The sequence below is a fragment of the Homo sapiens genome, chromosome 12, assembly GCF_000001405.40.
Source record: "Homo sapiens chromosome 12, GRCh38.p14 Primary Assembly".
Taxonomy (NCBI): domain Eukaryota; kingdom Metazoa; phylum Chordata; class Mammalia; order Primates; family Hominidae; genus Homo; species Homo sapiens.
Window position 1 is genome coordinate 39,638,976 of NC_000012.12, and position 22,136 is coordinate 39,661,111.

At 32.6% G+C, this 22,136-nt stretch overlaps 1 protein-coding gene across 5 annotated transcripts in view; it reads left to right on the plus strand.

Moving 5' to 3' along the window:
- REDIC1 (regulator of DNA class I crossover intermediates 1) overlaps nucleotides 1-22,136 on the plus strand; it is a 282,118-nt gene that overhangs the window by 12,793 nt on the left and 247,189 nt on the right. For 2 of the 5 annotated variants that reach the window (NM_001031748.4, NM_001319247.2), the window contains exons 2-7: nucleotides 1,980-2,019; nucleotides 4,804-4,942; nucleotides 7,354-7,486; nucleotides 7,865-7,913; nucleotides 8,817-9,002; nucleotides 11,264-11,379. In NM_001031748.4, the coding sequence (NP_001026918.2) occupies nucleotides 1,980-2,019; nucleotides 4,804-4,942; nucleotides 7,354-7,486; nucleotides 7,865-7,913; nucleotides 8,817-9,002; nucleotides 11,264-11,379 (663 nt within the window). Of the gene's footprint in view, nucleotides 1-1,979; nucleotides 2,020-4,803; nucleotides 4,943-5,969; nucleotides 6,309-7,353; nucleotides 7,487-7,864; nucleotides 7,914-8,816; nucleotides 9,003-11,263; nucleotides 11,380-22,136 lie in introns of those variants that run through there. The other 3 variants (NR_135051.2, XM_005268806.4, XM_011538231.3) reach the window with 2 other exon arrangements.

A 22,136-nucleotide genomic window follows, 5' to 3' on the forward strand; every position in this document is an offset into this window, starting at 1 on the left:
TAACATGGAAACTGCTTATACAATAAACATTTATTTTTGTTATCTCTTTTTAGTCTGGATTGCGTAATATTGCCAGCTCTGTTATACTTTTTATATTTCTGAACTTTGAAAAGTCACTTTACTTTCTGTGCATAAGCTTTGTGAGTTTTAAAATGATGGAGAATAAACTGATTTCTCAGGTCCTCCTTAGTCTTAGCAAATAAGTCGGTAAAATGAAATTTTTTTTCATTTTTCTTTGTAAAGTTTGAATGGCAGCAGTACACTTATGATGCTGCATGCAGCAGAATATATAGGGTTCTTTGCTCAATGAGTTCAAATAGTCAATTAAGACATAGCTAATGAGTCAGCTGGACTCTAGCGAGTCCACCCTGAACGTGCCTGATCTCAGAAACTAAGTAGGGTTGAGCCTGGTTAGTTCTTGCATGGGGGAACAAAGTTAATGAGAAGTATATTAAAGAACATATTCAATAAGTAGCAAAGTCAGGGGTATTCAGTAATTGTCATTGGTAAAGTTTATGAAAATCACTGGGAAAAATGAACAACTTCATATATTCTCAGTTGACATACTTGAAAGGCAGTTTTGGCTAAGAACTCCAATATCAGACACCCTGGATTTCAATTTTGCCTCTACCATTTATAAGCAGTGTGATCTTGGGGAAGTTACTTAACCTGTCTTTGCCTTAGTTTCCTCATCAGTAAAGTGGGTACAGAAACAGAACCTACCTTACAGAGTTGCCATGGAATTAAATGAGCTTATACATGTAAAGTGTCTGAAGTGTCTAGAATGGTGGAAGATATATGCTATTTAGTATTAGCAATTATTATTTTGATATTAGATAGTATACAGTTAAGACACAGTGTCATTTTACTTATTCTTACATAAATCTTGAATTTGAGACCATAGTGTTATGCATGTCTAAAAGTTATGTAAATCTGGTAATACTGTCATGAATATTTTATAGTGTTCCGCTGTTATTAATAGAACAAATATCTTATAACCATTAAATACTGCACTATCATTGGTCTTCAGTGCTGTATTTGGCTCAAGGATTATAGATACAAAGCACATCCAGAACTACTAGGTTTTTTTTTTTTTTTTAAAGAAGATGCTGTTGTCTCAATTTTTGTCTTTCCCCCAAGTTCATATGTTAACATCCTGACTCCCAAGGTGATGATATTAGGAGGGGATGGCTCTGGAAGGTGATTGGGTCACAGGGGCAGTGTCTTCGTGATTCAGATTCATACCCTTGTGAAAGAGGCTACGTAGAGTCAGCTCACCCCTTTTACCAAATGAGGATACAGCAAAAAAATGTCATCTGTAAACCAGAAAGTGGGCATTCACCAGATATCAAATCTGTTGGTGCCTTGATCTTGGACTTCCTAGCCTCTAGAACTGTGAGGAATAAATTTCTCTTCTTGGTAAGCTCCCTGGCTTTATAGTATTTTGTTATAGCAGCCTGAACATATTAAGACATAGATATGAAATTTCAAGTACATATGGCTGATATATTAACGTAACTGATGTTGCTCTAGCAATACACTTCACATTTCCTTAGATCCCAAATAGATTTCAACTTCCTCTCTGTTCTCTGTAGATTTCAGTAGAATGTTGAAATACAAAGAAAAAGAAGAATGTTGACAGAGAATATTGCTATCAGATAAGAATGTTTCAGGGATATATTCTTTCCAATGCATTTTTTTTTGCTTATCTTAGCATTAGAATTCAGATTTATTTTATACTTAATTATTCATCATTGACATGCAGTATTTTTTATTAGATATTGGATTTCCTAAGAAAATTTTGTGAAACTTCATACTATAAATACTTTAAGAATATTTTTATAGTTTCTTTTCAGAAAAAATGCAATGATACTACACTTTTAGATTTTAACTCTAAATCTTCAATTAAGCTAAACTGGCAGTTGTCTTAAAGGCCATTTCTTTGATCACTATATATTTTATTCTGCTGCTTTTTTCAGGTCCAGGGTTCTGATCAAGCAGGAAAGAAGAAAGCAAAAGGTAAAGAAAAAGTGTTTTTATTTTTGTCAGCCTTATGAGACTAATAACCTTGAAGTGCTTTTCTACCACTAATACATTCACCTAAGTGAAACTGGAGGCCATCTTCCTTTGGTCTTCTACATCCTTGTTGATAGCTTGATTAGCCACGTATTTTGCTCAGTCAGAGACTTAAAGATCATTGTTGATTCCTGCTGTCCTTCTAATTCCAAAATGTATCCCAGATCTGACCACTTCTCACTACCTGAGTATTGGTATTCTAATTTAAATAATCATTTATTACCTAGATAAATGATGTACAGTAATGGTGTCATAACCTGTGTACTACTTCCATTTATTTTGTCTTTATTTTTTATTACACTGATTGCATTCCATAGTAAGGCTGAGCATGTATATACCTTACAACTGAGCAAAGAAACCCTTGTACATGTGCCCTTTTGGATATGTACAAGATTTGTTTGGGTCATTGTTATGCTGAAATAGCAAACAGAGAGAGAGAGATGGAGAAAGAAGACAGGCAAGGGGAAGGAAGGAGAGGGAAAGAGAACTGTCCCAACATCCATTAGCAGTAGAATAGTAGAATGGTTAAACAAATTATGGCATATGCAAGTAATAGCATAGCAGTGCAAATGTATAAGCTACATATAATTAATGCAGATGAATCTCAAATACATAATGTTGAGCAAAAGAAGAAACTCACAGAATATAAGCAGTAAGATTCCTTTATATAAAGTTCTAAAACAGAAAAAAAAACCCAATAATGTTAATATGATCAAAGGTAGTAAAATTTCAATAAAAACAATGGAGTGATATTATAAAAGCAGGATAGTGGCAGTCTCTGGATTCTTTTCCTTCCCAGCTATCCCCTTTTATATTGCATCCCATTCATTTCTCAGTCATCTTGCTAAAGTCAACAATGAACTTTATGCTGTTCAATTGAAAGGATATTTGTCAGTCCGATTTATTTTATTACGTTGTCATCTCCTACACAAAGCAAATTCTTTCTGATCTTTCTTTGGTACATTCTCCAGATTTTATTTCTATCTCTCTGGTTGTTCCTTTTTAATGACTGTTTTCAAGTTAAAATTTGATTACTTAGTTTCTGAAAGTTTTCTAGTTCTTTTCAAATTGTTTTCTAGTTGTTTTTACCAAGTGAGACTTGACAAAAAAATTGAGCTTAGTCTTGTCAAGTTAATCAGTTAGTTACATACTTCTGTTCTTTCTTGGAACAGATATTAGAGGCTATTATGATGGCTGGATAATATGGGACAAACTTCTTCAACATGTTTCCTGGAATAAAGGCTTAGTCCCTTTGACAGTCTTTGTATTGTTCTTCCTTATTCCTGGAACCTTATATTCCTACCCTCTTTGGATAGCTCTGACTCATCCATCTATCTTAGAACTCATTTCCAAAGAAGTCTTCCATGTCCTCCTCCCTTCCCTGTACCCACCCTATCCCCAAACAATAATTTCCATACCTTTCCTAGGATTTGATACCATCCCCAATCACACTCAGTTGCATTTATTTGTGTCATCATCTCCCTCACTATGGTCTTATCCATCACAAAGTACAGTGCCTTTGTACTTTGTACAGATGAACTAACAACTTCTTAATTCCAGGACACAATCAATTATAAGATCTAGCATTGACTGAGTTGTTGTTTCAAGGTGGAAAACTATTTACATCCTGAAGATCCTGTTATTTCATTGCTTAACCATAGTATGGTCTTTAAAAATACATTTTAGTCTAATTTGGAGTTCCAGATCACTCAAATGAAATATGAACAAATACCTTTTATCTGTTATTTATTTTGTAAAACAAGACATTTACTTTTTTGTGTGTGATCATTGGCAAGTCTGTTATAGTTCTTACAAGATTTTTACAAACTTAAAAGTTATAATTAACAATATTCTGAAATGTTAATGTGAAAGAGCCTCAACTTCTTGAAAATAAATATGATATGTAACCTCTTCAAATTATGACCTCTTGCACTAAATATTTTGCCATCTTGGCTTTTTCTCATTTCTGACAATTTCGCATTTATATTTACATTCATAGCATTATATTATGAGTTATTTAATGGAAGAGAAGATGTTTTCACAACCTAGCACATAATAGTTGCTTGATAAATAAATATTAGTTAATTTTTATTTAAATGAATTAATGATGTAACCTGAAAGAAAAAGAATGGCAATAAGAAAGAATAATAACAGTTCAAACAGAAAGAAAATAAAAACTGGATAAAGTGATAATTATGTGCAAGTCTTGTTAAAAAAACAAACATCTGGGAATCATGGAGGGATAACAAATAAACGAAATTGGCTTTGGTTGCAGATTAATTTGCACATAGCTTTTTTTTTCTTCATTTCTGTTGACTTTTAATGGCACTCAGCTGTGCATATTTTTAAGGTTTTCTATGTCTGCAGAATAGCATACTTTGTAGAAAAACAAGAACAAGATTTTAGCCTGTCAGAATTGTTCTGTTACCAGATTTTTTTAACTTTCTATATAGAGATAATTTCTAATCTTTTGATTTCAGAGAATAGCTTTATAGCATTCTGTTTTAAAGGTTATGCTTAAGGAAGATGATAAAAGGCTGTGAAATTTAGTCTTTAGGCAAACTGCAAGTTATGATTAATTGTAATGTATTTATAAACATATAAAGATGTCACAAAATATAAAAGTATCAAGTCAATGACTTAATAACATGATTGCTTTTTTATTATTTATAATTCTGTCTAAAACCGCATATTTGCTGCATTGTTTTTAATTTTTAATTATTTTAGGAATATTTTGAAAAACACAGGTTAAAATCAAAAATGAAATCACTGGGAGTTTTATCTCCTGTCAAAAATTCTGCTGTCAGCTTAGACATTCTTAACCTATATATGGTAAATCAGATATCTTGCAAGAAGAAAATTCCTGGTAAGTCATTCCAATTGCATTCTGTTTTGAACTTGATGTGATCATAATAATGTTTAGTCTTCTAATTAGTTTGTAATTTTTGAGCTCAAAGCATGTGGAAAATTAATTTTAAAATTTGGTTGCTCTCTTAAATTAGATGCCTAGTTAATATCTGCTTAAAACGTTTTGTTGCTTAATCCAATTTTTATTTTTATTTTGTGTATGTGTTATATAAAATTAATTTATTAGGTGTCACTAAACTTATTATAGTACAGTTGTTACATTATTCTATACAGGCAGGTAGTTACCAAAGTTTAGCTAGAGAGCAGGGAATAAATGTTAATACATATCAACAAATTAACTATTCTTTACTATTTAAAGGGTATGTCTGAAAGGAAGATCTGCAAAGATTTTTGCTTCAATGACTAGTTTCCTATGTCATCACTTGAATTATTTATTACACTTTCCTGGGATGTTAATCATAGAAGTCTAATACTGCAAAATAAAGTCCATTTTGTCATATATTTTGATACTTCAAGTAAATAAAAAGCTTAATTAGAGTATATTTTTCCTCTTTTAGAGGAACTTGTGTCTGATATTTAATTTTTAAAACAACTGCTAAAAATGAGAGCATAAAAATAAGACAATTTATCAGGAAGGGATAGAAATTGATCAGAGTATTGTTAATATTTCCTCATTTCCTTTCTCCGTCATTTTTTTTCTCCCTCCACAGATAACAGTTTACACAAGTAAATTTAGTTATACTTTAGAAAGAATAAATACATTGTTCATGGATTTTGAGAATAAAACTTATTGTTGTAAATCTTTTTGATGTATTTACCTTTATTCCCAGTCGTAGGGGAATAAAAATATATTTCCTCATCCATTGCTAGGTTTATGGCTAAACCCTCAATAACAAAAGACAGATTAACAGGAGAAAAACATACAGATTTATTTAGTAAGTTTTATGTGACACAAGAGCCTTGATAAGAAATTTAAGATCTTAAGATTGGAAGAAATGGCTAAACTTGTGTATTTTTCTTGCCAGGTTTGATGAAAAAGTGGATGGTCCTCAAGAAGTATGATTGGATTTTTAAAAGAATGATCTAATAGTAATAAACTAAGGGGATCTTAGCAAGGCCTCTTTGTTCAGATTCTTCTTTGTGACCCTGCGTCTTCAGAGATAGGGATATTATTTTCTTCCAAGTATAACCAGAGCACTTCTCGAATGAGGGTTTTATGACCTGCTTCAGGGGAAAGCTGAGAGTAACCTTCCTGCTTCTGCTGTTTTCTTAAATAGCAAGATGACTTATTTTGGGATAATGGCCTGAACTCCTGCACTTTCTTTTCATTTATTTCTTCAGCATATTTTTATTGGGTACCCACTGTAAGTACTCTACTGGGTGCTGAGGATAAAACAGAAAGCAAGCTTTACTAATCAGGACTCATGGCTGCAAATGACAGAAATTCAAAACAGTTATCTTTTTACTCCTTTAACAGGAAGAGTGATGGTGCAGTGGGCCTCAGAGATGACTTGAAACAGGGACTTGAATACTATCAAGATTCTTTTTCACTTCAGTCATTAACTTTATTCTCTCAGACTGTCTTCATCATTGAGGCTCAAAACATGGCCTTAAGAAACTAATATTACTCACCTTCTCTAGTTTTGCCACCAAGGAAATACTGAGAGTTGTTTCTCTGGTCCCACATTTTAAAATTCCACTGTAAGAATATTTCCTTGTGCTACTGGTACCAATCTCACAGTGAAAAAATTTTGCTTATAACTAGCAGAATGGGATACGATTATTGGTTCACCTTTAGTCAGATGGCTACTGCCAAATCAATTATTTTATCCAGAGAGACAAGACTTTTATTTTGTTTTGTTTTTAAAGACAGGGTTTCACTGTGTTGCCCAAGCTGGTCTTGAACTCTTGGCCTCAAGCCATCCTCCAACTGCAGCCTCCTTAGTAACTGGGATTACAGGCATGAGCCACTATGCCTGGCTTGAGGCAGAGTTTTATAAGAAGATATAAAATCTACACTATAACTATGTATATAGTTTGGGTGGGTGTATCACAAAAATAGAGTAGGTGAAAGTACTGACCAGAGAAAGGGAAAATATATATAGTACTGTGGGAATATATAACATAGTAACTAATCTAGTCTGGAGATCATAGAAATCTTGGTGGAAGAAAAAGTAGAACTAAATTAATAGGGCAGCTATAATGAGGAATATATAAGATGATGAATATGTTTTAAAGTCTCTGATAGTTGTTTATATTGTAATGATTTATTTTAGCACTGATAGAATGTAAATGTTTTAGTAAAATTTCTTAGATATATGTTTATGTAATGAACATGATTTATTAAACAGTACTTTTACAATTTTTTATTCTTATTTTAAAATTATAATTATATATTTTTTATTATAGAAACTGTGAGAAAACCAACCCATGTGAACATGAATAGAGACATAAAAATGCCCCTAAGAAAGCATAATTTAGAACTTACAATGTCGCCTCACTGTGTACCTTCTAAACTCTGCCTTGATGATACAGAAACCAAGTAGGTTTTAGCTAGGATTTATATTATTAGGTGTTTAAACTGGTTATTAACAACACTTTTACTCACTCGAAAATGTATAAAATACTTACCTTCTACCCCCAGTTTTTGTTTGTTTGGCTGTTAACAGTATTATGCAATGATTAAGACCTTCATCAAATGATCCAGATTTTGTACACTTTGTTTGACTTACCTTATCATAAAAATGTCTGTATCTAGTATTAATATAATTTTTATAAAACTTAGTAATATTATGACCCTGTAGTGATTTACTTAGGTTTCTATATGTTTTGTGTAGAACAGTATGAATTTTAAATATAGGAAAGGACAGTCGATTTTATTTCAATTTATATTTTTAACCTAAATTTTTCTTTTCATTAGTGTAAACTGTCAAAGACTAAGTAGCAAGGAAGATCTTGGCCCAGTCCAGGTGAGATTTTTAAAAAAATTCTATAGGTTATTTCAGCAATTGTGATATGCTACCTAATGATCTAAATGTCTGAATACTGGAGAAAATTATTTTAAAGAAAATTTTGAGTCTTTAATTCTTTTAAAAGCTTTCCAGGTGAGAAATCTATGCCTTAAGAATATTTTAATTGATTGCTTATGAGAATCTCTTTGGACTGCTGGTAATGTGACTAGGCCTATGTTTGCATAACATTTGATTCTGCTTGTTACTGATGAGCTGCCAAGGACAGTTCACTTAGGGATTCTTACTTTGGGTTCACGTGATTATTGAGCAATTCATCTGTTCAAACATAGTAACCAGATTACTTTATATCAAATTGTGATGTCCAACCCTCACGTGGATCCCAAGATGATTTCTCTTTCAAAGTATAGCAAATAATTTTCTTAGCAAATAAAATTTTAATCAATTAGAAAATGCATAGATTATAATTAAAGCTTGAAACTTTAACATCTAATGTCATATTGTTAGCTATCATTTTTTTCCTTTGAATTGCCAGAGTTAAGCTAGATCAGAAAGATAATGGCAATGATACTAAAATCCCTTAGAAATCTTATCACCTGGATTATGGGTTAATGAAACTCAGATTTCCTGTCTTTAGAAGGTAGCCTACAGGAATGGAGCTGGAGGATGGAGAGAAGCAGGAGTAGGGAAGGCAGAGGGAAGGGTGCTCTTCAGTATAGCCTTCACTGGTAACCACTCTCTTCCTAGTAAGTTCTGTCAATTACTGATGGGTTGCCTTGCCTTAGGACATTTTCTTTTGTAACCCCTGCCCTTTTCACTTATTTTAATTTCACTATTTTGACTTTCCTCTTCTCTAGTTTATATATTTTGGTAATGTAAATGATTTTATCTTCTTTCCTATAGTCACAAGGCATGGACTCATATAGTATGCTTCACCCTCAGTTCAGCAAAATAGAGAACTGCAGTTTCACTCCATCATCTTTTTCAGTGGAGTTACCTTCTAACAGACATATTTCAAAACTAAATTTCACATCTGGAATAGCACCTACTCCTCAGAAACTTGCATATGAAAAAAAGCAGAATGACCAGGTACCTTTGAATCATTAGTTCTTAGCATTTTATATAATTATATTTTCATGAAACTCTTTTTTTCTTTTTATAGATTTAAAATATTTACATTTTGAATTGCTATACATATAAACAAATTAGGAGATAAATTAAGGTTCATTCCCTTTACATCAAAAACTTAATTCTTTGCACTGTAGAAGATTGTGAATCCCAGAACTGGAGTGTTTTTTAAAAAAAATCTTGGAATGTATCATTCTCTTAGAAAACCATTGATAGTAGAATTGAAAGTAGTTCAGTGTGTTATATAGTAGTTGAAGTTTATAATCACTGTAATTGATTAGTTGGTGATGTCATGATGACCCAATATGCATGATATAGAAAGTGTCCTGTGAATAGCAATATACAGTTTCAGAGATGTCGTAGTAGTCTCTTAAAGTGATGGCTTGATAATTTTTATAATTTGAAAGATGACAAGTTTTTATTTTAAGTTTTTCAATTAACACTATACAAATATATAGAGATGTAGTGCTAAAATGTTGTTCAATCATTGTGTGCTCTAAAGCTAAAAATATAAAATATATAAATATTAAGATTCTAAAATACATCAGTCATAGAGCATACCAGGAAATCTACTAAAAATGAAATTTAATTAAATGTTACTATACTAATGTCTAATGGTAATGAGGAGAATGCTTATACAAACACTATGTCTTGTTAATGGGAATACTTAGTTTTGAATTTATCTTATTTTTAGCATGCAGTGGTTTTATGACATATTTATATATTATTTATAAATCAGTTTATAATTAATTTATAGTTTTAAATTTTAGAAATTATATTATAGCTATATATTATAGCATATCAGTTATATATATGCCATATGATAGTTATATATAATTCCATTTTATTAAAATTTTTATTAAAGACTTCCCAGATAAGAGAAAATGAAGTATTACATTCCTGTGACCCATGCTAGCCTTGTTATAAAGGCCCAATAATTTTTGAATGATGCAATGAAAGACATTTTCAATTACCCATTCAGTTTATATTTCGTAAGACAAAAACCTACATTCTAGATCAGCTTATAACTCATCCTTGCTCTATTAAATAGTTTAAGGATAGAGGATAAAACATCTGTGTAATCTCTATTTAACTTTCTTGTCTGTACATATTATAGACTGCAGGTTAATGATGAGCTCCAGAGAGGTAAATAATTTTATGCTTAACATGGTAAAAGACTGAAAAATAGATAATGTCCCTTTTCAATCATAGTGTCACATCATGAAATACTAGGGAAGTATTTAATAGCGTACTTGGAGGAATTTCAAAAAAAGTGAAAATGATTAAAATGAAATTATAAAATACAAAAGAAAATGAGTTGAAAAACAAGTTAGAACAAAAAGTGACTTGGGGTTTCCTGATCCTTAGTTAAGTAGTATTGTCGAATATATAATATTATATTCTCTTCTCTTTTGATTTGTTTCTTATTTTAAGGGATAAAGTTTTGCACCTCTGTCACTCTCTCTTAGATGTATTAGTTAGCTGAGACATTAGTATAAGCTCTCTCTGACTTTAGTCTATTTTTTTTCCCCAAAGACTTTCAGTGTCTCTTTTTGACTCTCCTTTTTTTTTTTTTTCTGACAATTCTGTCATTGGTTGTGTTTGGACTTCTCATTTCTATGTTTCATGAGTTATAAATCAAATGTATGACAGATATAAATTATTGTTGAATAGATTAGTGTTGGGCCAATATAATAAGTTACATTTATAGGGTACTTTCCACATTAACAAATTGATTATCTTCTTTTCACAATAGTCTTTTCACTCTCCCTTTTGAACTGAATAATATTGATATTCAGAAAAATTAAAGTAGCAATCTAAAGTTACTCAGTAAATGGAACAACTGAGACAAGTATAGCTCTTTTATTGGGACAAATTATTGTTTTCTGTCAGAGAAATTTAACTTACAATTATTCAAGATCTTGGTGTCCTGGGTGTTTTTTTGTTTTTTTATTTTTTATTTTTAACTTGGAGAAAATGGTTAGCTTACCATCATATCAACTCTGTTATTTTAACAATTATTCAGATACTGGTATTGATTTTTTTGTTAGGAAACTATTTATTTTGTTTTCAATAAGTAGTAAAATTACTTTATTTTGGACTATTTTTACAATTTTAAAATATAAATGTAGTTCATTTACATGACATTTTATGGTAAATAATTTAAATTGTATATATGTACATTTACTATTTTGGCAGTTTCTTCAAATTTTTTTTTTCAGCGCAGTACTGTTAACTGTTCTGATTCCTTGCTTTCCAAATTAAATAAAAGTCAAGATGTTTTCAGTCCATCACATAAAACTACACGATTTGGGACATTATTTGAAAGATTAAACAGGTAAGCAAAGATGCTGAAGGAAATAAAGAAGCTGTAGCATTCTGTACTTTCACTTAGAAATTTGATTTTAATGGACACAAATATTTTTAGTTAAAAATATAAACAGTCCTAAGTAATACTTCTAGAAAAAAATTCAAAAAGTAAAATGTATTATTTAATTAAAATAGTGTAAGTAATTATTTTATAACATGAACATCTACCTTTCATTTATTTAAGTTTATTTTTTATTTTTTGAAAAGAAGTCTCGCTCTTTCACCCAGGCTGGAGTGCAGTGGTACAATTATCTTAGCTCGCTGCAACCTCTGCCTCCTGAGTTCAAGTGATTCTCGTGCCTTAGCACCCAAGAGGCTGGGATTACAGGTGTGTGCCACCACAGCCAATTGGCTAATTTTTGAATTTTTAGTAGAGATGGGGTTTCACCTTGTTGGCCAGGCTGGTCTCAATCTTCTGGCCTCAAGTGATCTGCCCACCTTAGCCTCCCAGAGTCATTTATTTAGTTTTAAAATTATTTTGGACAGAGGTATTTTGCACATTTTACAATCTCCATGAATTACTGTTTTCTTTTTCTGCAAAAATAGTGATTTCTTTTTCACATTTGTGGTAGTTGAATAGAATCCCACTTTCATTTTCTAGATGTCTATATATACAGTACAGTAGTGCCACCTTATCCACAGGGGATATGTTCCAAAACCCCCAGTGGAATCCTGAAATTGCAGACAGTGCCAAACCCTATATATGCTATGTTTTTTTGTATGCATACATCTATGGTAAAGTTTAATTTATGTTAGGGACAGTAATAGATTAACAACAATAACTAATAATAGAATAGAACAATTATAATGATATACTGTTAAAAGTTATAAGAATGTAGTCTCTTGGTCTCAAAGTATCTTACTATATATACTGTACTTACCTATTTTTGGACTGCGGTTGACTGTGGGTTATAGACCGACCATGGAAAGCAGAAACTGCAGAAAGTGAAACTGTGGGTAATAGGGAATTCTGTGAATCCTAGTTTGTTGTTTTAAAATCTATTAAGCTTGTAAAACCAGTTTGACCCACTCCTGGTGATGTGATGAGAAACCTTGACTCTGTCATACTATCCTAGTTTCCTTATTTTGGTAAATGGCACCACTATTCACTGAGTTGCTAAAGCCAAAATAAAAGTTGTACTTGATTCCTTCCTTTCCTTCAACTCTCAATGTCCATTTCACCAAAAAAGTTGTCAATTCTGTATTTTAATAAAGTTTAAAATTATCTACTTACATTTCTGTTTGTATGGGTTCCATCCCAGTCTATGACATCATTCTTTCTTGCCTGGAGAGTTGTAATGCCAGGTAACAGTTCTTTTTTGTTCTGAGATACATTTTTTAAAACCAGTTTTATTAAATGACATAAAATAAACTAAACTTATTTAACTATGATAATGAATTTATGCACTTTGATAAATTTTGACAATGTCAAAGATAATGACACATGAACACATTTATTATCCCCAGTAGTTTATTTGGGTACCTTGGTAATCCCTTCTCCCTATTGCTTCACATCCCTTGTACCTATCCCAAAGCAACCACTGATCTGCTTTGTGTTGCTCTGTATTAGCCCATATTTTCTATAATTTTAAATAAGACATCATATAGTGTGTTCTTTTTTGTTGTTTGACCTCTTTCACTCAGTGTAATTATTTTGAAATTCATCTATGTTGGTTGTTGCCCGTATCTATAGTTCATTCCTTTTTATTGCAGGGTAGTATTTCATTGTATGGACATAGCACAACGTATTCATTTACCTGTTCATGGGCATTTGGTGTTTCCCCCGAGTTTTTGCCTATTCCAAATATACCTGCTGTGACAGTTCATGTATAAGTCTTTGTTTTGACATATACTTCATTTCTCCTGGGTGCAAGTGGAATGACTGGATCATTTGTTAGGTGTATGTTTAAGTTTAAAAAAACTACCGAACTATTTTCCAGTGGTATTTGTATCATTTTATATTCCCATTAACAATGTATGAACATTGCAGCGCATCCTTGTCAACACTTGGTACAGTCAGTCTTTTAAAATTTAACCCATTCTAGTCAGTGTGTAGTAGTATCTCATGTTTTTAATTTGCATTTCTCTAATGACTAATGATTTTGGCATCTTTTCATGTGCATATTAGCCATGTGTGACTCTGGTGAAATGTTTACCCTTTTCATTTTATTACTGGTACCTTTTTGAAGTGCAAAAGGTTTAATTTGATGAAGTCCGACATTAATTTTTTCATTTATTGTGCTTATGGTGTCAAAACCAACAAATCTTTGCTTAACCCAAGGTCATGAAGATTTTCTTCTGTTTTATACTTTTAGATCTTACATGTAGGTCTATGATTCATTTTGAGTTAATTTTTATGTGTTGGGTGTGGTAAGGGTCTGAATCCATTATTTACATTTGTGGAAAAGAATATTTTTTCCTTGCTTAATTGCTTTGGCACCTTTGTCAGAAATCAATTGACTGTAAATATAAGGATTTTTTTCTGGAATCTCAGTTCTGTTCTGTTGATTATGTTAGTACCAAACTGTCTTGGTTACTGTAGCTTTATTGTTAGTTTTGAGATCAAAGAAGTGTATTAGTCCAACATTTTTTTTTCAAAAGTGTTTTGGCTCTTCTTAATCCTTTGCAATTCCATATAAATTTTAGGATCTGATGGTCAGTTTCTGCAGCACAATCAAAAACCAGAAACCAAATCTATTTGGATTTTAAGAGATTATGTTGAATTTATAGATTAATTTTGATAGAATTGCCATCTTAACAATAGTGACTTTGACAGTCCACAAGCATAAAATGTTTTTCTTCTTTCATCTTCTTTAATTTCTTCAATAATATATTATGGTTTTCAGGCTATAAGCCTTGTTTCTTTCTTCCTAGTATTTTATTCTTTTTATGCTTTCGTAAATGGAATTACTTTCCCAATTTCATTTTTGGATTATTCCTCGGTAGTGTATAGAAATACGATTAATTTTTGTATATGAATCTTACATCTTTTGACTTTGACAATTTTATTATTCTAGTAATAGTTGAGTAGGGGTTTTTTTAAATCATGTTGGAATACATTGTCCATAGTAAGTATATTTTTACCTCTCTCTTTTCAATCTGGATGTCTTCTTCTTCTTCTTCTTCTTCTTCTTCTTCTTCTTCTTCTTCTTTTTCTTCTTCTTCTTCTTCTTTCTTCTTCTTCTTTTTCTTCCTCTTCTTCTTCCTCTTCTTCTTCTTTTTTTTTTGCATTGTGAATGTGATCTTAGCCAAAAGGCCAGGGAGCAATTTTTACTTCCCTTTCTTGCTTAACTTTGCTAACTAGAGCCTCCAGTACAATGCTGAATAGCAGTGGCAAGAGCAGATGTGCCTATTGTTCTCAGTTTTAGGGAAAAAGCATTCAGTCTTTCACCAGTAAGTATGATGTTAGCTATAGGTGTTTTTGTAAGTGTCCTTTAACAGGTTGTGAAAGTTCTCTTCTGTTTCTAGAGCATTGAGACTTTTTATCATGAATTTTGTCAAGTGCTCCTTCCATGTCTCTTGAAATTATGATTTTTTTAAAGTATGATGTTAGCTATAGGTGTTTTTGTAAGTGTCCTTTATCAGGTTGTGAAAGTTCTCTTCTGTTTCTAGAGCATTGAGAGTTTTTATCATGAGTTTTGTCAAGTGCTCCTTCCATGTGTCTTGAAATTATGATGTTGTTTTTTTTAAGTATGATGTTAGCTATAGGTGTTTTTGTAAGTGTCCTTTATCAGGTTGTGAAAGTTCTCTTCTGTTTCTAGAGCATTGAGAGTTTTTATCATGAATTTTGTCAAGTGCTCCTTCCATGTCTCTTGAAATTATGATGTTGTTTTTTTTTCCTTTAACCTGTTAATATATAACAATTTATTTTCAGGTGTCAAACCACCTTGTATTGATGGGATGAAAACTGCTTGGTGTAGGCCGGGCGTGGTGGCTCACGCCTGTAATCCCAGCACTTTGGGAGGCCAAGGTGGGCGGATCACGAGGTCAGGAGATCGAGATCATCCTGACTAACACAGTGAAACCCCGTCTCTACTAAAAATACAAAAAAATTAGTCCGGTGTGGTGGCGGGCGCCTGTAGTCCCAGCTACTCGGGAGCCTGAGGCAGGAGAATGGTGTGAACCCGGCAGGCGGAGCTTGCAGTGAGCCGAGATCGTGCCAGTGCACTCCAGCCTGGGAGACAAAGTGAGACTCTGTCTTAAAAAAAAAAAAAACTGCTTGGTGTATAATCCTCTCCATAAGTTGTTGGATTTGGTTTGCTAATATTTTATTGATGGTTTTTGTGTCTATATTTATGAAGAATATTTGTCTGAATTTTTTATTTCTTCGTGATTGTTCGGCTTTGGTATCAGGGTAATACTGGCCTCATAGAAAAAGTTGAAAGTGTTTCCCCCTGTTTTATGTAAGAATTTGTGGAGGGTTGGTATTATTTCTTTTCTAAGTTTTTCTTAGAATTCACCAGTGAAGGCATCTGCACATGGACTTTTTTTTAGTGAGAACACTTAATTACTAATTCATTTTCTTGTTATGGTCTGTTCAGATTGTCTAGTTTGTTCTTGAGTCAATTGTGGTAATTTGTGTTTTACTAGGAATTTGTCCATTTCATCTAAGTTGCATGATTTGTTGGCATGAAGTTGTTTATAGTATACCCTTGAAATCCTTTTAGTTTCTGTAAGATTGGTGTTTATATCACTTCTTTAATTCTAGATATGCATTCTCTCTCTTTTTTTCATGTTTAGTGTAGCTGAAGATTTTTCAATTTTGTAGGTCTTTTTAAACAACTGAGTTTTGGTTTAATCAATTTTCTCAATTGTTTTTCTATTTTCCATTTTTTAAGTTCTACACTAATGTTTATAATTTTCTTTTTCTGCTTGCCTTGGATTTAGGTTGCCCGTCTTTTTCTAGTTTCTTAAAGTGGTAGCTTAACCTGCTGATTTTATATCTTTCTCTTGTAGTACTGCTTAGATGTCAACTAATGATTGGTCAGAAGTTGTGTTTAAACAGCTAGACCTAATAAGGCTTCCTCTTGTATGCAACACCTCACATTCAGCCAAGGATGAGTAGATACCTGAGGCCCTCTGGTCTCTCCTGAGTGTACACACAGCCTTACACATGTATGCATCCTCCTAGATGACCTCAGGTCTGGGAGTTTATCAAAGCTCATTATGACTATTTGTTTTCCTGATTTCTCTATGAAATTTCTTAATGGTTTTTGCCTGCTTTCAAATATTACAGTCTCAGGGAGCTGCAGTGTTGGACTTCCCTGATGGTTTGCCACTGAAAATATGATTGTTTTTGATGCCCTTCCATTACGGGGCTCTCCAACCTTGGTAGAGCTACCACTCATGGATCTAGGGGTGGAGGGAAGGGATAGCTCCAGGCTATAACTGTATGGACACCTACTATTTCTACTAAGGCTCAGTAGTTTTCTTGAAGTACTGCTTCTCAGTTTATCGTGTGCCTTTGGTTACTTCACACATTCTGAAATGGTTGTTTTTGCACATTTTGTCTGGTTTTAACATTGCATTTTGGGGGAGAGTATTTGCCAAATTGCTCACTCTATCATCCCAGAAGGTCCTGCCCCACATCAGGTTTTTTTTTTCTTCTTTTTCTAATGTTAAACCAACCTTGTATTCCTGGGATAAATCCCACCTGTCACAATATGTTATTCTTGTTATGTATTCTTGACTTTGATTTGGTAAAATTTTGTTAGGAAATCTTGTGTCAGTCTTCATGAGGAATATTATTTTGTAGGTTTCTTTTCTTGTAATATCTTAGTCTGGTTTTGACCAGCATAATGTCAGTGTCATAGAATGAGCTGGGAAGTATTCCATCATGTTTAATTTTCTGGAAGAGTTTGTATAGAAAGCATATACAGTTATGTGCTGCATAACAATGTTTCAGTCAACAATGAATGGCATATATGATGGTGGTCCCATAATATTATAATGGAGCTGAAAAATTCCTACCATCTAGTGACATCGTAGCTATTGTAATATAGTAGCACAGCTCATTCCTCATGTGTTTGTGTGATGCTAGTATTAACAAACCTGCCAGTCATATGAAAGCATAGCATATACAATTATGTATAATACATAATAATTGATAATGATAATAAATGACTTGTTAATGGTTTATGTATTTATTATACTATTTATTGTTATTTTAGAGTGTGCTCTTTCTACTTATTAGAAAAAAAGTTAATTGTAAAACAGGCTCAGGCAGGGCCTTTCAGGAGGTATTCCAGAAGAAGGCATTGTTATCATAAGAAATGACAGTTCCCTGTGAATCACTGCCCCTGAAGACCTTCCAGTGGGACAAGATGGGGAAGTGAAAGACAGTGAGATTGATGATCCTGACCCTGTGTGGACCTAGGCTAATGTATGTTTATGTCCTAGTTTTTAACAAAAAAGGTTAAAAGTAAGGAAAACATTTAAAAAAATTTAAAAATAGAAAAAAGCTTATAGAATAAGGCTGTAAAGAAAAATTTTTTTACAGCTGTACAATGTATTTGTTTTAAGCTAAGTTATTACAATAGAGTCAAAAAGTTTAAAAAATTAAAACATTTATAAAGCTACAGTAAGATAAGGTTAATTTATTGATGAAAGAAATTTTTAAAAATAAATTTAGTGAAGCGTAAGTGTAGAGTGTTTATAGTCTACAGTAGTGTATAGTAATGTTCTAGGCCTTCACATTCACTCCCCACTCACTGACTTACCCAAAACAACTTTCATCCTGCAAGCTCCATTCATGCTACGTGTCCTTTGCAGATGTGCCTTTAAAAAAATTTTTATGCTGTATTTTTTTCCTATACCTTTTCTATGTTTAGATACACAAATATCATTGTGTTACACTTGCCTACAATATTGTGCTATAGGCAATTGTACTGTAGGCAATACTGTACAGGTTTGTAGCCTAGGAGCAATAGGCCATACTATATAGCCTCGGTGTGTAGTAGGCTGTCCCATCTAGGTTTGTGTAAGTACACCCTATGATGTTCCCACAATGACAAAATTGCCTAATGACACATTTATCAAAATGTATTCTTGTTGTAAAGTGATACATGATTGTAATTTCTAACTTAAATCATAAAGTTAATCAGTGAAGCCATGTGAGTACTGGTGTTCTCTTTTGTGGGAAGTATTTTTATTACAGTTTTAAGTTTTTACTGAACACAGGGCTAGTCAATCAGATTATTTGTTCTTGAGTGAGCTTTGGTAGTTTGTGTCTTACAAAGAATGTATTTATTTTGTCTACCTTGTAGAATTTATTGACATAAAGTTATTCATAACTTTCTCTTATTGTTTGAAATCTTTACCATCTGTAGCACTTTCTCTCTCATTAATGAGATTATTTTTCTCTTATTCTCTATTTTTTTCTGACTTCTGATACAGCAATATCAATTTTATTTATGTTCTTACAGAATTATCTTTTAGTTTCACAAGTCTTTTATTTTTATATTTTTAAAAATTGCATTGAATTCTGCTTTTCTATTTATTATTTTCTTTTGTCTGCTTATTTTGCATTTAATTTCCTCTGCGTTTTCTAGTTTTTTTAAGAGGTAAGGTCATTGGTTTGAAACCATTCTTCTTTACTAATATAGGCATTTTAGGGCTATAAATTCTCTACTAACTGCTGTTTTTGCTGTATCTTACAAATTTTGAAATATTATGTTTTCATTTTTATTCACATCAAAATACTTTTTTTTTTTGAGACAGTGTCTAGCTCTGTTGCGCAGACTGGAGTGCAGTGGTGTGATGTTGGCTCACTGCAACCTCTGCCTCCCGGGTTCAAGTGATTCTCCTGCCTCAGCCTCTTAAGTAGCTGGGATTACAGGTGCCTCCCACCACGCCTGGCTAAGTTTTAAAAATATTTTTAGTAGAGTTGGGGTTTCACCATGTTGGCCAGACTGGTCTCGAACTCCTGACCTCAAGTGATCCACCTGCCTCAGCCTCCCAAAGTGCTGGGATTATAGGCTTGAGACACCATGCCCAGCCTGGATCAAAATACATTCTAATCTTTCTTTGGATTTCTGTTTCAATCCATGAGTTATTTAGAAATTTCGTATTTGGTTCCCAGAAACTAAGACTTTCCCATTATCTTTATGAATTAATTCCTTTGTGGACAAGGAACATACTTTGTATGATTTGATCCTTCCAAATTTATTCAGACTGGTATAGTGGCTAAGAATATGGTTTACATTTAATATGACAATGTATAGGTTTGGATTTAAGTCTGTCCTCTTGCTGTTTGCATTTTGTCCATCCCTTTGCCTCTTTTTCTACTTTTATTTAAGTATTTTTATGACTTCTTTTCATCTCTTTGTTTATTAGCTATAATTCTGTTTTATTATTGATTGCTTTAGACTTTATCAGATATATATTAATGTATCACAGATTATCTTCAAGTTATAGTATCAAGTATAGTATAAGAATCTTACAGTAGTATACTTTTTATTTCTTCTCTCCTTTGGCCTTTGTGTTATATTCGTACATTTATTTATGTGTATGTTATAAACCCAATAATGCATTGTTGTTTTGTTTTAAAGAAAGCTAAATAAGAAAATATGTTTCTTATATTTAAGCACGTAGTTGTTATTTTTAGTGGTCTTCATTATTTTGTGTAGATATAGATTTCCATCTGGTGTCATTTTCTGTTTGAAAGACTTAACATTTCTTCTATTGTAGATCTGCTGGTGATTAATGCTCTAATCTTTGTATATTTGCAAATTTCTGTTTTTGAAAGATGTCTTTTGACTTGGTGTAGTTTCCAACTAGAAGTTTGCTGTCATTATCTTAATATCTGTATATATAATATAGTTTTTATCTTTGTTTTTGTGATTTTTCTGTCATGATTTTTTAAACATTGATTTCTATTCTTTGATTAAGATATTAATTTTCTTTCTATTTCTTATGTTTGGGTTTTCTTGATCTTGGATTTGTGGACTTATTTTTATCAAAAATTTTTATCCATTATTTCTTCAAATATTTTTTCTGACTCCTTTCCTTCTCCTTGGGGGACTCAAATTGGTAAATTAGTCTACTTGAAATCTCAGTTTACTGGTGCTCTGTTTTTTCCAGTCTTTTTTCTCTCATTGTTTTATTTTATGTAGATTATATTACTATATCTTCCACGTCCATAATTGTATCTTCCGTGTGGTCTTATCTGCTGGTAATCCCATCCAGTGTAATTTTCATCTCTAGAACTTTGATTTACCTTTTCTTTTTTATCTTCCATGTATCTATTAGGCATGTTCAGTATTTCCTCTGTCTCCTTGAATACAGGAAATATAGTTATGATAACTTTTAATGTACTTGTCTACGAATTCCATTATTTTTGTCATTTCTTGATCTGTTTTTAATAATTGATTTTGCTTCTCATTATAGATCTTCTCTTTTTTGCATTCCTGGTAATTTTGTTGGATTCTATACATTATGAATTTTTATTTTTATGGCTGCTGGACATTTTTATTTTCCTGCACATCATCCTTGGAAACACTATGGTACTTGGAAACACTATGGTACTTGGAAACCCTATGATCTTATTGAGGCTTGCTTTTAAATTTTGTCAAGCAGGACCAATAAGCCTTCAGTTTGTAGTTAATTTTGCTCCACTGCTGAGGCAATACCCTTCTGAATACTTTCTTGATCCCCCTTGAATTATGAAATTTTCCACTCTAGAGGGTGGAATCAAAATTTTCCCCCCTAGTGAGCTCCTGAGATTGTTCTATTTTTCTTACCTTGGGTGGTTCTTTTCACAGCCTTCGGCAATTACTTCACATGCATGTGCCGGTTAGTATTTAGTTGAACACTTGAGAACACTCTGGATCTCTGGAGGTCTTACTCTCTGAAACACTCTCCTTTATGGTACTCTAACTTGTGAACTCTATCCTCTGCAATCTCCCTGGATCCCCAGGTGTTTCCTCAACAAAGGGAGCCTCAGTTGGGCTCTGATTAGGTTCTCTTTCCTTGTTCTGTGGCTTGAATGTTCTCTCCAGACAATAACCTAGGAACAATCACAGAGTTCTCCTCATTTGTTTTCTCTCTCTCAGGGATCATTATCTTGCTCACCTGGTCTCCTCTGACTGAAAACTGTTGTCCATATATTTTGTTCTTTTTTTTTAAATTTTTTATTGATACATATTATTTAATATTGTACATATTACTGGGGTACATGTGGTATGTTGTTGCATGCATGGAATGTGTAATAATCAGGTCAGGGTATTTAGGATATCCATCACCACAACCATTGATAATTTCTATGTGTTGAGAACATTTTAAGTCCTCACCTCTAGCTATTTTGAAATGTACAACACATTTTTGTTAACTACAGCACCCTACTCTACTATCAAATATTAGCACTTGTTCATTCTATCTATTATATGTTTGTACCCATTAAACCTCCCTTCACAGCCCCTCCCTTCCCTCTGCACACATATCTACATCCTTCCCAGCCTCTGGTAACTATCATTCTACTCTACCCACGAGAGATTAACTTTTTTAGCTCCCACATGTGAGTGAGTACATGTGCTATTTGTCTTTCTGTGTCTGGCTTATTTCACTTCCAGTTCCACCCATGTTGCTGCAAATGACACGATTTCATTCTTTTTTAATGGATGGATAGTATTCTGTTTTGTAAATTTACCACATTTTGTTATCCGTTCATCTACTGAAGTATGCTTAGGTTGATTCCATATCTTTGCTATTGTGAATAGTGCTGTAATA